The sequence below is a fragment of the Homo sapiens genome, chromosome 3, assembly GCF_000001405.40.
Source record: "Homo sapiens chromosome 3, GRCh38.p14 Primary Assembly".
Taxonomy (NCBI): domain Eukaryota; kingdom Metazoa; phylum Chordata; class Mammalia; order Primates; family Hominidae; genus Homo; species Homo sapiens.
This window is the reverse complement of record NC_000003.12, coordinates 23,239,292-23,256,961: the sequence shown is the minus strand read 5'-3', so window position 1 is coordinate 23,256,961 and position 17,670 is coordinate 23,239,292. Positions and strand designations below refer to the sequence as shown.

General features: G+C 37.1%; 1 protein-coding gene across 7 annotated transcripts in view, besides 1 other annotated feature; it reads right to left on the bottom strand.

Moving 5' to 3' along the window:
- The window catches only part of UBE2E2 (ubiquitin conjugating enzyme E2 E2), a 388,828-nt gene that overhangs the window by 334,964 nt on the left and 36,194 nt on the right, over nucleotides 1-17,670 (bottom strand). The window lies entirely within an intron of this gene.
- Nucleotides 65-114: an enhancer, noted in NCBI's record as "active region_19592". NCBI's record gives its function as "activates an Ori minimal core promoter by ATAC-STARR-seq in GM12878 lymphoblastoid cells {active_cell/tissue: GM12878}" and the evidence as "EXISTENCE:reporter gene assay evidence [ECO:0000049][PMID:35858748]".

Sequence of the window (17,670 nt, the reverse complement as noted above, 5' to 3'; positions counted from 1 at the left end):
CATAAGTGCCTGGTGTTCCATCAAAACATGCAGGCAGGTTAGGAAGAACTGAAACAGACTGCATATTACTCAAGCTAGACCAGAGGCCTTTCTGGCAACCTCAGGGAGAAGAAAATGGAATGGACAGTAATAAGGACAAAGTGATTTTATATGTGCGTGTGTGAGAGCAAGGACGCATGCAGGCCTTAGAGATAAGTAGATAAAGCTCCCACGTGAAAGATTAAAAATCAAATATGTAACGCACTGTGTTAAAATGTAGAAAGAATTCAGAAGAGAAAATACAGCATGCTACTGACCTTAGTCTTAAGAATTATGAAAATATATAAATCCTAATTTCAAAGGGATTTTATTAATTGCTTTCAAAGAAATTAACCATAACCTCAACAAATCACTTTCATTGCTTTTTAAAATTTATAACTAAGAACTTTAATGTTCTTAATTAAAAATCATACTGCTCAAAGAATATAGTTTGAAGCTACAGTTTTTTTTGTCAAAAATTACAATGCAAAAGTTTTAGTTTATATAATGAAAATACACACACGTATACTTTGTTACGGAGTATCCTTTAAAAGGCTAATAAAAACAGTTCTATAAATTCCCAAGTATTCAAATATGACAAGGCAGTAACAATATTTTACTTAGATGTACAAATGGCTAAAATAAACAATCATCATTTTAATTAGAAATATCATGATGAGACTATAAATACAATCCTATTAACTTCAGTGAAGTCTTTCCCATAATGCACTAAAAAGCATGTGTATCCCAAAAAGAACTCTGTAACCAGAAATTAAGAACGAAAGAAAAATTAGGTGGTTGCAACTCATATGCTAGCTTTATTCTAAAGAGCAGGAAAACAGAATGATCTCTTTATAGTGGTCTATGATAGGCAGCACAGTGCTGTCTCCAGAACTAAACTCAAAAGCTGTTTTGGGAAAGCAAGTTTACTAATAAATACTCTCAGAAGCTGTCTTTTATTTATTTTTAGAGGCAGAGTCTTGCCGTGTTGCCCAGGCTGAACTGCAGTGGCTATTCACAGGCAAAATCATTGCTTACCACAGCCTCAAACTCCTGGGTTCAAGCAATCCTCCTGCCTCAGCCTCCAGGGTAGCTAGAACTACAGGTATGCACCACTGCACATGGCCAGAAGCTGCTTTGCTGGAGAGTATGATTATTCCCAGATACTGTGATATGTATCCAATAGTAAAATAGTTTAGATTTTTGCTAAATCTGCTGAAAATCAAGACAGAGGTACCATATGTGATAAAAGGCAAAATGTTCAGAAGCTCATACTTCTGTAAAATAGAAAAAAGAGAGAGCTTAGACTGATCACTTCCCACCTAGATCAGTGTCAATTATCTGGAAATGCCCTTTTTCTCTCTACTTTGACTCTACAACTTTATTTCTCAATCCCCTTTGAGCTGCCTCACTAAATCCCTAAATGTTTGCTCTCTGTTGACACAGCAAATCATTAATAAATAGTAAGCCTGTATCTTTTACTTCTCTTCTACACTGCGTTATTTTAAGTGCCTGATGTTAATAAAACAGTCAAATAAATATTACTCCTTGTCCTGGCATGGTAGCTCACGCCTGTAATCCCAGCACTTTGGGAGGCTGAGGAACACGGATCGCTTGAGCTGAGGAGTTCGAGACCAGCCTGCGCAATATGGCAAAACCCTATCGTTACCAAAAAAAAAAAAAACTACAAAAATTAGCGGGGCACAGTGGTGTGTGCCTGTAGTCCCATCTACCTAGGAGGCTGATGTGGGAGGGTCGCTTGAGCATGGGAGGAGATTATAGTGAGCTGTGATCACGCCACTGCACTCCAGCCTGGGCAACATAGTGAGGCCCTGTCTCAAAAAAAAAAAAAAAAAAAAAAAAAGGAAGTTACTCCTTAAACTGATCTCAGCAATTTCTCAACGAACTGTTCTTAAGATGGCCAGGTTATATGCCTTCAGAAACCACTTATGCAGCACTGGCTTATCCTTTTCATTACTTTCTTCTAAACATGGCCATATGCTTACTAACATATCATGAGACATAAGGGGGGAAAAAAAAAGCCTTAAAGAAGCTGAGTTCCTAAATCCCTTTAAGATTATACAAGGACCTTAAGAATTATCTGGCCACACCCTGCCTTTCCAGCTTCCTCTTCCCCTCACATCCATTCTCTCTTCTAATTTCTACTTATCTTTGAAAACCCAGCTCACTGTGGCCTCCTATAGCAAGTCCTTCTTGGCTACTCCTCCCCAGCCAGGATCAAACACCCCCAAACCCTTTCCATATAATCCCACAGTATCCTATAATTTCCATTAGAACAACACAATATCTTGAATGAGAATTTTGTGAATAGGAATTTCAATGAAGCCAGATATACCTTAACATACAAATTTAAGCCAATGTACTGGATTTTTAGTTAATTATTAGCTCCCACACTGGTCAACATGTCCCTTGAGAACACAGGCTTTTTCATCTCTGTATTTCTAGGAACTTGCACAAACTAGCCTGGACCAGCTTCTTAAACACCGGCTACTGGACTCTCCTATTACTGCCCCACAAATACCTACGCACACTTCCAGAAACTGGGCAACCAGATGTTCCCTAAACCCAGGATTAACCCAGCATCCCTTGGTCAAAATTACCTCTTCCCCATGCTTTCAAGTCATTCTTGATGTAAGCATCAGTTGGCATATTTAATAAAGTGTGATTGGTATCAGGGTCTAATTAGATGCAAAAATGAGTCTCTTCAACTAAAGCAGAGGTCTCTTGGAGCAAGGACCCAGTTATTCATCTTAATTCATTCCCACCACCAGATATATGCCTGGAGACTTTATAAGCACTCCATAAAATACAAAACTATATTTGAGGGTACTCTCAGAACATGTGGTTATGTCTCTTTCATGTCAATAGCACATTTCTTTTTAGTGTAGTTCTATCCTATTAGACTGGCAGTTCCTTGAGAGCTAGAACTAAATTTTCTTAAAATCACAAATCTAAATTTAAATTTTAAAATTAATATACCCTATTTGAGAGAGGTCAGAAGAAAGATCACCTGCAACTCATTACTGTAGCACAAGGATTATAAATTATCTTTTTCTAGGGATTTTTCATATTTATACTTTATAAACTCATAATCACAATTTACATATAATCTAGTCCTTTCATATGCATCTTTTCATACTACTATATACCTTGCCTATTTATTTTTATTGGATATATAACCATCCAATGAATGGACTAATCCTAATTTACTCAGCTATTTCTCTTCACATAATATTGTTCACTTCCACATTTTCATTGTTACAGGTAACAGTCCATATTTTTTATCATTTTCCATAAGCTAGAGCCCCTTATATGAAATTACTGAATTAAAGATTATGAACTAACATTTTTGTTGCTACTGAAGCACAGTACCAATGTGCTTTCAATTTAGAATTATACCTTTCACAGTCCAGTAGCAATGGTAGTAGTTTCAGCAGCACTATGTACAATTTCTTGTTTTAAGTCTCATTTCCTAGATTACTAACAAGGCTGAACACATATCCCACATGCCTGTTTACTAACCATATTTCCTCCTTTGTGAACAGTTTGTGTACTATGCCCATTTACCTATCACAGTCATCATGGGTATTTTTACTGGTTTGTCATTCTCTGCCTGTCTCACTGTGAATACATTTTTCCAGTTTGTTGTTTGCTTTTTGTGGAGTATTTTCTTTTCCTCCCTCTTCACCAAAGACATACTTTTTAAAAGCATTTTAGTGTGTAATTTTATCTAGTCAAATCGATTATTATTTTCTTTATAATTTCTTCTAACATTTCTAGAAGTCAGCCTCCAAATCTGTTTTCTCCTAGTTTTATTTTCTTTTATATTTAACCCTTAAACCACAGGTAAGGAATATGTCATCTCTGCATGCCTCCAAAGAACCTATTTCAGTATCTTTCACATGCTAAGCATTCAATAAATGCTTCTTACATATTCTTTATTAAAAGATAAAATTTAGAAAACAGCAGCCATTATTGGATTCTTACTAGTCTCTTTACAAGCTGATTAATCAATTTAGATATGAAAGTAAAATACACTCCATAATGAATGACAAGGCAATGCTGCAGATTTGATGTGTTCTTTCTACTGCGGGGACATAAATAATATGGTTTAAGAAAATCTGGTGGCCAGGTGTGGTGGCTCACGCCTGTAATACCAGCACTTTGGGAGACCGAGGTGGGTGGATCACCAGAGATCAGGAGTTCAAGACCAGACTGAGCAACATGGTGAAACCTCGTCTCTACTAAAAATACAAAAATCAGCTGGATGCGGCGGCACGTGCCTGTAATCCCAGCTACTGAGGAGGCTGAGGCAGGAGAATCGCTTGAACCGAGGAGGCAGAGGTTGCAGTGAGCTGAGATCGTGCTACTGCACTCCAGCCTAGGCGCCAGAGCTAGACTCCGTCTCAAAAAATTAAAAAAAAAAATTTTTTTTAATCTTGTTTTGTTTTACTGGCAAACCAATTTTAATGTCTGAGGTTAAATCACACAAATTCTTTTTCATACACATTGTCTGCAGAGTAGCAAGCTGAATGATAGTGTTATTCATTTTTTTAAGTCATAGTCCTCAAGATCACTGTTACAGCATCCTAAAACTATGCAGCAAAAAACTAATGAATAGTTTATTATAACTCACACCATCATACACACTGCTGTATAGTTCATAGATGCAACAACTTTTATGGTGATGACACCCTGGTACATTTTCAGTCAGTCATCAAGTCTTCAACAGGAAAATATGTATGTATACACAACTTGTAAATTTAAACCACCAAGATATCACCTAGTAAAGAGCATATAGCTTTATTATGCTTTTCCAGTTTAACTAATTTTTTTGTTGCAGAGAAATAGTCAATTAGGCCAAAAAGCTTACTACAATCAAAAATATAATACATGTGCCCCCTTGGATTACAGCACATTTATGTGGAGTACCTGTTAACATAATTTTCATTTGAAGACCTATAATAACACTGTTAAAATGACAGCTGTGGAAATTAATCTGAGTGATGAGGTTAGCAGCACTGGCTTTATTTTCCTCTAATGGTATAGCATTTGCCTATAAATGTATGGGTATAGCAAATCATTGCTGGTAACCTTACCCTAGCCATGTTTTTTGGAAGAGTTGGATCTCCTAATACATAAATAGTCGAGAGAGATTATTATAATTTTATAACTTTTTCTGCTTACCTAAAAAACAAAGAAAAAGGATATGGGAATACTGTTTGCATACATGCTTTATGGTTTGAATATGTTAATTCTAAACAGAAGTTAATAATGAATCACTTTACAAATAATTTACTATTACTTATTTAAGGTAATTTAAGAGAGACAAGCTCCTTTCATAGAAAACAAACATAGTAGGTACATGGGTTGCATGAACATGTCGACAACTTTCTTAAGTTTCCAAGACTGCATGTTTTTAAAATTACAGAGAGGCTGCTCTTTAACTTTCTGACAACTGAGAAATTGGATGATGATTCGAATGTAAATGTATGATTAATAGCCCAACTATCACCAAAGAGACTACCAGAGGCTTACAATAAGAGATACACAATTAGACCATTATAACATAAAATGAAAAGTCAACCCAGAGAATAACGGTTCTTCATCTTTTTGAGGGGGGCGTTGGGAGGAGGTCATGGAAAATCTGAGAGAAGCTAACGATGCTCCCCCAGATTCCCACACAAGCTTGCACACAAGCAAGTTTACTGATCATTTCAGAAGGGTTCATCAGCTCCCTGAAGCTGATACACACACGATGAATTAAAAGCTCCTGTCACAGGCTAGGCACAGTAATCCCAGTGCTTTGGGAGACAGAGGTGGGAGGACTGAGCCCAGGAGTTTGAGACCAGCGTGGGCAACATAGCAAGACCCTGTCTTTACAAATAATCTTTTTTTAATTAGAAGCATGATGGCATGCACCTGTAGTCCCAGCTACCTGGGAGGCTGAGGCAGGAGGATCACTTGAGCCCAGGAATTCAAGGTTGCAGTGAGCTATAATGGTGCTAGTGCATGCCAGCCTGGGCGACAGAGTGCGACTCTGTCTCCAATAAATAAATACTCCTGCCACAGAGGACTGAGAAGAAATTACCCATATCAGAAGCCTAGGCTAATAAAGTTACTATAATTGAAGTGACATATAACTCCAAGCTTTCTTGCAGCCAAAGCAAACAGAAAAACTCAACAGAATATATAATTCTTAATGACTGATAGAAGGAAGTATGCCATATCATAAGGAAAGAAACTTTTCTCTGAAACTAAATTCTTGAATAATTTATCACATTAATTCTTATAAAGGGAACAGAGTATCATAAGAGACAATGCATTCAATAGTTTCATCGCAGATGCAGAAATATTCTTCATACAAATGCATCTAACAAAAATTGACAGAATATGAGGAAACAATACTAAAATATAGGACTAAATAGTTTTCTGGTGATCTAGTTTGATATGAAGTTAGAAGTGAGTTCATGCCACCATTTTTCCAATCTCATGTTCATAAAACAACCTCTAATACAAATTCAGAAAAATTTTACTGAGTATAGACCTGGTCTCAGAAACCTCAAAGCAGCCACTTCAAGGAACTGGAGTAGGCATTTGAACCTTTACAGATGAGACAATAATAATGTAAAAGAGAATTAAAGACCAGCGTAGAAGATAGGTTAATAGTACAGGAAATGGAGCCAGGTGGTTTGATCTGAATCATGGCTTATCTACTTAATGGCTGTGACTTTGGCAAGTTTCTAATTGTGACTATATTGCAGTTTCTCACCTGCAAGGTTGTGGTAACAACAGTCCTTACTCAGAGTTACTGAGAACTAGCATCCATAAAGCTCCCAGAACAGCATCTATCTACCCTCCTAGATTAAAGGGGTAAGACAGGCAAACCACTTAGATCAGTGTCTGGCATATAACTTACCACCTACTCTGCAATCATTCAAGAATATGTATTCTTAAAATTCTGTTAGGCCGGATGCGGTGGCTCACGCCTGTAGTCCCAGCACTTTGGGAGGCAGAGGCAGGCGGATCATGAGGTCAGGAGATCGAGACTATCCTAGCTAACACAGTGAAACCCCATCTCTACTAAAAATACAAAAAAATTAGCCAGGTGTGGTGGCGGGTGCCTGTAGTCCCAGCTACTTGGGAGGCTGAGGCAGGAGAATGGCATGAACCCAGAAAGCAGAGCTTGCAGTGAGCCGAGATCATGCCACTGCACTCCAGTCTGCGCGAAAGAGCAAGACTCCATCTCAAAATTTAAAAAAAAAAAAATCTGAGTTAATACACACATTTTATTTTAGCCATCAAATTAAAATAACCTGAATTTTAATCTACACATTTATTTTCAAGGTCACTGGAATCCCTAATCTTGGCTAATTTAACTACGTTTATCCTGAATCAATCTCTTTGCTTCCCAATTGTTTCCAGTGACCAAAATTTTTAGTATCTGGAAAACATACTAAGAAGCTTTTAATGAAAATTGCTTAAAGAGTTCTTTTTCTACACATATCTTACCATATATCCAGTATTTTTCAGTCATTTGTTCTCAAATGCTTTCACTTGGCTTCAGCTCTGCTGACCTTGTTAATCCTTAATTCACAAATTATGGTAAAGTCATATCTTACTCCAGAATTAGGTTCTTTTTTTTTTTTTTGAGACAGGGTCTTGCTCTGTTGCCCAGGCTGGGGTGTGGTGGTGCAATCTCGGCTCACTGAAACTTCCGCCTCCCAGGCTCAAAGCAATCCTCCTACCTCAACCTCCCAAGTAGCTGGGACTACAGGTGTGTGCCACCATGCCCAGCTAATTTTTGTATTTTTTGGAGAGACAAGGTTTCGCCATGTTGCCCAGGCTGGTCTCAAACTCCTGGGCTCAAGCAATCCTCCCACGTCAGCCTCTCAAAGTGCTAGAATTACAGGCATGAGCCACTGCACCCGGCCAGAATAAGGTCCTAAGGTAGTTGCAAAAGGCAAAAATTGCATACTCAAAATTACCTTTGAATAGCTCTTAAATCAGTCGGTCAAGTATTCTTCAATAAGGCCAAAACAGCCAATGTTCCTCTAGCACTGCAACAGATCACTCACTGTTCATTCGGCTGAATAACAGATGAAGTAGCTGACTAAGTTTAGGAAAGACTAAAAATCACTGTCAGGGAAGGGAGCTATTCACACTATGAAATGCAATCAAGAACTAAAAGGACTTCTTCCATCTCTCACTCAGGGACACACATTCACTGATCAGAATAAAAGGAATGGCTGAATGACTCTCACTTGCACTCTTAAATTATATTTCTCAAGTATGTTCTCTCCTTTTCGTAAAGAAGACTATACATAGTTGAATTTACAGAAATTAACTAAAGTGAAATGCATGTGATCTAACGCTTCCACTAAAAATTCTAAAGGCGGTTCTAATGCCATACAAATTTAATGTTTATATTTTATTGTGCTGAATGTTCTAAATTCTCAACATTCCACTTAGCTAGCAGAACTCAGTTTTTTGTGGAACAATTTAAAAATTCCACCTGATCGCCTAACTTTTCCTTCAGTCAAGGATTATAGTAGAGAATTAAGGTGCAGTCTCAGGGAAATGACAGAGAAATTCCTCTCCTACATATGAGAAGGTGTGGAACACCAGTGAGGATGTGGGTTAATTCTGGCCATGTTGTCTAAGGAGTGTTCCCACATTCAAAAACAATCAGATGTCTGTCGTGAAGACAACAACCTGATCAAATCATCTACAGAAATGTGTGAAGCTGAAGTACATCAGGACACTAATTGCTTTTTTGATGGAAGAAAAAATGTACTCGACTACAAAAAAGATGGGCATCATGATCTACACTTTTGCAATAGTGAAAAATGAGGACGAAATTGATTAGAATTGGGAATTGGAGACAAAAATGCACTTGGCTTGGTATACGCAACGGACTTTCTAAAGCTTTATGCTAATCAGAATTTTTACATGGTAATATTATCGTTCTTTTAAACTGCAAAGTCTAAAGACTTTTATAACTCAGTCTTTAGAGTTGCTATCTGAATCAAAATGGAGAACCACAAATGAATTTGCAAATGACTTTGTACAAGCTAGTCTCTTTAATAAAAGGGGGAGGGGAGGAAGAAGGAGTAAATGCCAGAATTATTTCATAAGCAATTTCTGGGGTAGAGTGGCAGTGGAAAGTGCCTTTGCAAATGAGCCTCCAAATTCAGGCTACTGTCAAAGAAATGCCTTTCATTGTACTTTGTTGAAGAATTCTGCCTGTTTAGGTCCAAATACTCCTACTTAAAAAATAATACCTCACACCTGTAATCCCAGCACTTTGGGAGGCCAAGGCAGACAGATCACCTGAGGTTGAGAGTTTGAGACCAGCCTGACCAATATGGAGAAACCCCGTCCTACTGAAAATACAAAAATTAGCCAGGCTTGGTGGCGGGCACCTGTAATCCCAGCTACTCAGGAGGCTGAGGCAGGAGAATCGCTTGTACGCGGGAGGCAGAGGTTCTGGTGAGCCGAGATCATGCCATTGCACTCCAGCCTGGTGACAGAGCGAGACTCCGTCTCAAAAAAAAAAAAAAAATACACTCAGAGACTAAATAATATGTAACTAGGTTATTTTCTGATTCAGATATCAGATAATAAAAAATAAGACAATACAGTACCAGAACAATATGAAACCAACCTAGTTTTACATTAATATTTGAGTATTAATTAATAAATTGGAATAAAAAGAGAATAAATAAATTCTTTTACTTTTTTTATTATTTAGGAACTGGCTTTCTGAAGAAAATCAAAAAAGAATAAAAAGCCCAGAAAGGCACTTTGGGAGCTGAGGCAGGAGGACTGCTTGGGTCTAGGATTTCAAGACCAACGTGGGCAACATAACAAGACTCTGTCTCTACAATAAAAAACGTTTTTAAATTAGCTGAGCATATTAACACACACATGTAGCCCAAGCTACTAGGGAGGCTGAGGCAAGAAGAACCCTTGAGCTCAGGAGACCAGCCTGGCCACACAGCATGACTCCGTCTCTATTTTTTTCTTTTTAAGTCCAGAAAGTCTACATTGTGGTTTTTAATTTACTTAATAAATAACCAAATACCTACTATATGCCAGGCAATGATCCACATGCTTTGTCATAATTCTTGGGGAAGACACACATATTCCACTGTGGTTTTTCAATAGAACAAAAGACTTATAAAATGTTTCATTTTTAACCGATAATAACCAGGTACTACTCAAAGCTCAAAATATCTTTACTGGTCAGGTGCAGTGGCTATAAGCCCAGCACTCTGGGAGGCTGAGGCAGGAGGACTGTTTGAGCCCAGGAATTTAACAACAGTTTGGTCGACATGGAAAGGCCCCCATCTCTACAAAAAATTTTAAAAAAATTAGCCAGGCATGGCCGGGCACAGTGGCTCATGCCTGTAATCCCAGAACTTTGGGAGGCTGAGGTGGGCGGATCATGAGGTCAGGAGATCAAGACCATCCTGGCCAACATACTGAAACCCCGTGTCTACTAAAAATACAAAAAAAAAAAAAAAAAAAAATTAGCCAGGCATGGTGGCGGGCGCCTGTAGTCCCAGCTACTCAGGAGGCTGAGGCAGGTCAATGGCGTGAACCTGGGAGGCGGAGCTTGCAGTGAGCCGAGATTGCGCCACTGCACTCCAGCCTGGGCGACAGAGCGAGACTCCATCTCGAAAAAAAAAAAAAAATTAGCCACGCATGGTGGCATACACCTGTAGTCCCAACTACTTGGGAGGCTGAGGTGGAAGGATCACTTGAGCCCCACTTGAGCCCAGGATGTGGAGGCTTCGGCGAGCCATGATCACACCACTGCATGCCAGCTTGGGTGATAGAACAAGACTAGCTCATATATATTTATTGACTGGATGCCAATAAATATAAATATTGATTATTTTCAACAACTTATGGGTAGCTATTCACCTGAAGTCTCCTGCTTCTCCTTTTTAAATGTGTTATTTTACTTATCATTTTATCCACCTACTTATCCATTAAGTGTTCAACCTCAGGTCAAATAATTGGTGGGAGGATAAAAGATGTATGTGTGTAAATATGCAAAACACAGTTTATGAACTCAAAGAGGCATGGTTTTTCTTCATTTTACAAAGGTCAAGAGGAAACAAAACCAATTATTTGGTAGACCTCATAAAAGGTTTAAGATGCTAAGATAACAGATATGATGGTGCCCTTTAAAACTGTAAAATTCTACTCTAATATATTATTACTAAACAAAATTGGCTTATTACTTTGATGGCTTCAATTATTCATGCTATTACTATGGATATCAAAGGTCCCTTACTACCTGAATAAATTTAAGATCTAAATACGGCCTGTGATATTTTATTAAGTTTAGTTGTAGTATTTAAATAAAGATATCCAATATTTTGTGTCAATTCAGTCAATTTGAAAGAATTATATCCTTTAAGGGTTTCCATTCATTTATAATGATTTAATAGAAAGAAAATAAGATTTACAGTTAGGATTTGAATTTTGGCTTTGTATGACCTTCAACAATGTAAACTCTCTGAGATTCAGTCACCCCAACTATAAAATGAGGGTGATGTGAAATTTAAATAAATGAGAATATGACAATATTCAGCATAATGTTTACCACATATGAGAACTCAATATTTTCTTTGCATCTTCTTTCAAACATTGTAAAACTTATCAATTATATACCCTCTTTTATCAGACAGTAAGTGCTCTATGGAGTTTTTTCCTATGACCCTCCCATTTTTATGTAAATGGTTACAATCTCAACATCTTTCCACTATCTCATCTTTTTTGTATCTCCACAGTACCTAAAATATTGGTTAATGACATTTACTAGACCGTAATAAGCCCAAAGGATATTCTCATTTCTAAATGTATTTACATAAGAAGAAAATAAGGAGTATCTGAAATCAGGACCTTCCCAGAAAATGTGGGATGAACAAAGCTCTAAATCAGCTGCATGGTATTAACCCGACTGCAAATTTTTATTCTATAATTAAATAAATCATTGCAATTTATCACTGTTCTTCAGATCTGATTCAGCAGTAATACAATTTGTACCTTGGAGTCTTACCTAACACTATTCATTTGTATAAAAGAGCTCAAAGTATTTCAGAACCAAAGTATACAAAACATTTCTCCAATACAATCATTCATCCAAGCAAAGTTTCCATTATTTTCTTATAAAAATGCAACAGAAATAGCAATTAAAATTACACATTTTCATTCCTATTATCTGAAAAATGTAAGCATGTGCTTACAAATTCAAGAACCACCCAATAAAGGCATTATTACAATTGGCCAGCCTCACACATTGCTATGTTATTTACTAATCTTCTCTGTACGTTTTCCTCTTTGAAGCATTGTTCTAGTACTCAGCTATAATAAACAAACCTTGTATAGTTAATTATGTTGCTGTACTAACAATAAAAAGTTGGCCCTCTTCCACTTTGACTGTAAAAATCTTCATTAAGGAGGCTAAAGCACACAAATACAGAAAAGTCAACTGCATGAAGACATACATAACCTGCTAAAAGAATGTGTATTACAAAATGGAATGCACATAAAGCTAGACACTAATCTATCTTTATATATAAATAATGTATGCAAATATGAATCTGCAAACATATGGTGACAACATAATTATAAAAGATCATTTAGTCTTTCTTGGTTAAAATTCTCACATAAGGCATATGCAGCTTAAAAGTTTCTCCTAAGTATGTTTCTTTTTAAACCTAAACTTTTTTTTAATTTCCTCATTTAATAGTTGATTCTTTTTTTTTTTCCAAATGAAATGCAGGGTACATTTTTCTTCCTATAAAATCACCCTTAATTGATATTCTTCCTATAAAATCACCTTAATTGATATCATAATAAGAGACTAAAAACTGTACAGGTTTTTTTAAACCTTCATGATTGGACAAGGGAAAAATCATCATGGCTGTGCCACTGATATGGAGTGGCAACTAAAACTCCCGAGTGTGAAAATGAATAAATACACAGGTAAAAGAACGATCCTAAGGCATCATAATTTTAATATAAAATGTAAAATGTTCTCTGAATTGACATTAGGTGGAACAAACTCTGCTGCTTCCTACTATACTTAAATATTTTAAAGAGGACTACATAGAAAAATTTCATTATTAAAACTTTAAGGCCAAAAAAAAAAAAAGAAATACTATTTGTAGACAAGTGATTTCAGATTTTTAAAATACCACAAAGGTATTCAGAAGTTCAGTTAATCTAACCAACGCTTGAGAAAAAGGCTGTAAACTTGCCAAAATGATTATGGCTGAACAGTAGAATTATTTTTTGCTGAGCCACAAAACTGTACTATTCTTAACAATAAATGATTTTCTTAAAGCCATTAATCTAAAACGAATATATGTTGTTCTTTAGAGAAAACTCAGAACATCAAATACAAAATAAAATGATCAGAAAGAAGCAGAAAGGGAAGCGGGCCATAAAATGTAGGGTAAAGGGCCCAGGATCTGAGAGGTCTGAGGGGAACACTGAGGCTCAGAGATTGAATGTATTTAGAAAAACAAAATGCTATTCTCTGCCATTACAGAACTGCTGGGAGCATAAAAGATGAAGCATGAGACCTGCTACCTCATAAGTGCCTAACAAATAATGGTATTAGTAGTAGTATTGTTTGTCCATATTGCTGGCTCTAGTGCAGCAGGTGAATAGTGCTTAACAAAAAAACAAACTAGGATGGCGTCCTTTGGAGATTTTCTTTGTAGTTTCCTTTAACTTCAATAGTTATTTGATCATCTTATATTTCTATTCAGTGATAACTATTTTCTTTTCTTTTCTTTTCTTTTTTTTTTTTGAAACAGCGTCTCACTCTGTCGCCCAGGCTGGAGTGCAGTGGCATGATCTCAGCTCACTGCAACCTCCGCCTCCCAGGTTCAAGCAATTCTCCTGCCTCAGCCTCCCAAGTAGCTGGGATCACAGGCATAAGCCAACACACCCACCTAAGTTTTGTGTTTTTAGTAGAGACAGGGTTTCACCATGTTGGCCAGGCAGGTCTCGAACTCCTGACCTCAGGTGATCCTCCCGCCTCAGCCTCCCAAATGGCAGGGATTACAGGTGTGAGCCACTGCGCCTGGCCGATAACTATTTTCAAGCAAAGCAATTATGGCATGTTATAAGAAATTTGGGGATTTTAACTGTTTATTTACCCAATTTACTAACTTAATGCCACCTTAATGGCAATAATTAGATTTTTCTCAGCAGAAAGACTGTTAGTAGAATGTACTCCTTCACTTTTCAATATAACAATTAACCTGATATCCATCTGCAAAGTGCTCCATACTGTCAACAGAATAAAATGACCATCATCTAAATCCTACAGATTCTGGTAAAATGGTGAAAGCTTTTATTCCTGTGACATTTGAATTCTTAGAAGCAAAGAAGATTGTAGAAACAATTTAAAACATATTTCCATAAATTTAACAAATAGTCTTTCTGTTTCAATGTATATTTTGGCTTTGTGGACTGCTCATGACTATACTGGGGGGGCGGGGGGCGGGGAAAAAAAACAAACAAGATAAAAGGATGTGACTCACACCTCACCTGAAGAACAAAGTTCTATGCAACAGATTACTACTATACAGCAGACCTTTATTTGTATGAGAATCATATTCAATCATACTAAAAACAACTTTAAAAACCATCAGACTTGGCCAGGCTTGATGATTCATGCCTATAATCCCAGTGCTTTGGGAGGTCAAAGCAGGAGGATCATTTGGGAGGTCAAGGCAGGAGGTCATGAGTTTCAAGACCAGCCTGGGCAACACAGCAAGACTCCATCTCTACAAAAAAATAAAAATAAAAATTTAGCTAGGTGTGTTAGCCCAATCCTGTAGTCTCAGCTACTTGAGAGGCTGAGGCAGCAGGATAGCTTGAGCACAAAAGATACAGGTTGCAGTGAGCTATGATCATGCCACTGAGCTCCAGCCTGGGTGAAAGTAAGACCTTGTCTCTATATTAAGACAAGAAACAAAAACATCAGGCTTGGGGAGAGGTATAAATGATAGGGAAGATGTGGCAGGCTTCTGAGGAGTGGTAATAATGTTATGTTGCCAATAAATATCAATGAAGTGCAATTTATTGAACATTTACTACGTTCCAGGCACTTTTCAAACTGTAAGTGTCTTTCAGATATTCACATTCTAATGGGAGGGAATACACAACACAGTTAATCATAAGAAACTGATAGAAGTAAATGTTAGGAGGTGTTAACTCCTACGGAAAGAAAAAGCGGAGTAAAAATAATTGGGTGTATTGAGGTAGGGTGATCAGGGTTAGCCTCACCGAGATGACATTTGAGGAAATAGCCAGTGCAGAGACCCTAAGATGGAAGCATGTCTGGCACATTTGAGGGACAGGGAAGAGGCCAGCGTAGCGGCAGCAGAGTGATCAAGAGAATAAGCAATAAGGTCAGAGAGACAAAGGGGGCCCTGATCACTCTCAAAGGCCATTGTAATGGGAACACAAGGAGTAATATGATCTCACTTTCATGTTTAAAAGATCATTCTGGCTGTCATATTAAGAATAGACTATATAGAAGGAAGGATGGAAGAAGGGAGACCTGTTGGGAGGGTGTGGCAATAACTCAAGCAAGATATGAAGACGGCTTGGACCATAATAGTAACAATGGAGAAAGTGGGAAGTGATTAGACTCTAGATGTATTCTGAAGGTAGGACAAAAACGATTTGATGACAGAATGAACGTAGAGTGAGAGAGAAAAAGGAATCAATGACTCCTAAATGGAAAGACAGATTTGCTATTAACTGAAATGAAAAAGACTGGGTGAAGCAGATTTGGGAGGGGAAGCAGAAGTTGTTTTGGACTTGTTGAAGTGCCTATTAAATATTCATATGGGGCAATGAGTAAACAGTTATCCACAGAAGCTAAATTTTAAATGAGAAGATTTTACAGACAGCCTAAGAAAAATAAAATTTAAATAAAATTAAACCTTAAGTGTTAATATATAAGTAGCTAATCAATATAATAAATTTTCACCGTTATTAACCTTCATTTAGCACATCTATGAAATGCTCCATCATTAAAGGTCACAACACTACAAAAGAAAAAAAGTTACTGCATACACTCTAATGGATTAATAATTTTGACCCAAGTTACTGGGTATGTGGACAAAAAGAGAAAATACTTAAGCTATCCAGTAATCTTAATCACAGCTCAACAATACAAAGGGCTTAATTCATCCCTATATTCAATGTATAATCGTAGAAGTGAAAATGCCAAGAGATCCTATCAGATTTCATCTGCAGCTTTCACTGCAGACACAGTGAGCTTTGCAGGTTCATAATGGCATAAACAGTGTGGCTGTGTGCCACAGACACAAAGATACCTCATGGCAGATTTTCTCCCTAAACCAAATAACTTGGTTGTTACTATTTATTAAGAATAATATGATAAAACCAGAACTGAGTATTGATAGTAAAAGCACACTGCCATGCAGCTACACATTGTCATAAAGTATTACCCAAGTTAGCTGTTTATTTGGTAAGTGTTTGAACAATTTACCACATAGGAAAAAAAATTTCATTGGGTAATCCACTAGTATAGCTCCAGAACAGTATGAAACAAAACTTAATTAAGCCCTGTAAGCAATGCTAAGCTAAAGAAATAAAATTTAGAAAAACAAGTAAAATTGGGCGAAAGGAAGGACTGTCCTTATTCTCTGGAATAAATGAGAAAGCGTAGTTACCAGCTAATAAAATGTGAATGGTGAATGTTTACCCAATTATCCTAACCTTAAATAATAAGCAGTAAGGTATAAAGGGATATTATTGAGATGCCTATTCTCCCAGTCTATAATAGTTCCAAACTTTAACCAGGCTCCTTTATGATCCATAAAAAAGTTATACCCCAGGACAAGGCTGGCATCATGTGGCAGAGCCCTACATGCCTCAAAACTTACTTGAAACTAGGTAGAAACAGAAATTACACTTTAAAAGAGGAATAAATCATACTAAGCAAAAGCTGACTGATCTGCTTTCCTACTCCTTTTCAAAGAATTCATTCTGTAATTCTGTACATCAAGAGGATAAAACTGTCCTTTCTACTCAAAGTCCAAATCATCAAGCAAAGGATGGAAAAACAGCATATCTTTTAGAACCTCTTCTGCTCTATCACCCAACAGACTTAGCACAGTGCCTGGCTTATGTAATACTCAATGTTTGCTAAATCTGAACTTCATCTGATCTCATCTCTCCCCCTTATTTCACCTTCTTCTTTAATGGAATCTCTTAAACCTCCCAACCTCCACTCAATTATTTGCCTAGCCTTTTTTATTATAAAACTAAATGCTTTAATTATGTTAAGTGAAAGACACCAGATATAAAAGGCCACACCTTGTATGATTCCATTTATACAAAATGCCCAGAATAGACAAATCCATAGAGACAGAAAGTCGATTCGTGGTTGCCAGAAGCTGGGGGGGAGGGGGGAATGGAGAATGCTAATGGATGTGGGGTTCCTTTCTAGGATGATGAAAATGTTTTGGAAGTAATGACAGTGACAGTTGCACAACGTTGTGAGTACACTAGAAACTACTGAATTGCATAATTTAAAAGAGTGAATTGTATGGTATT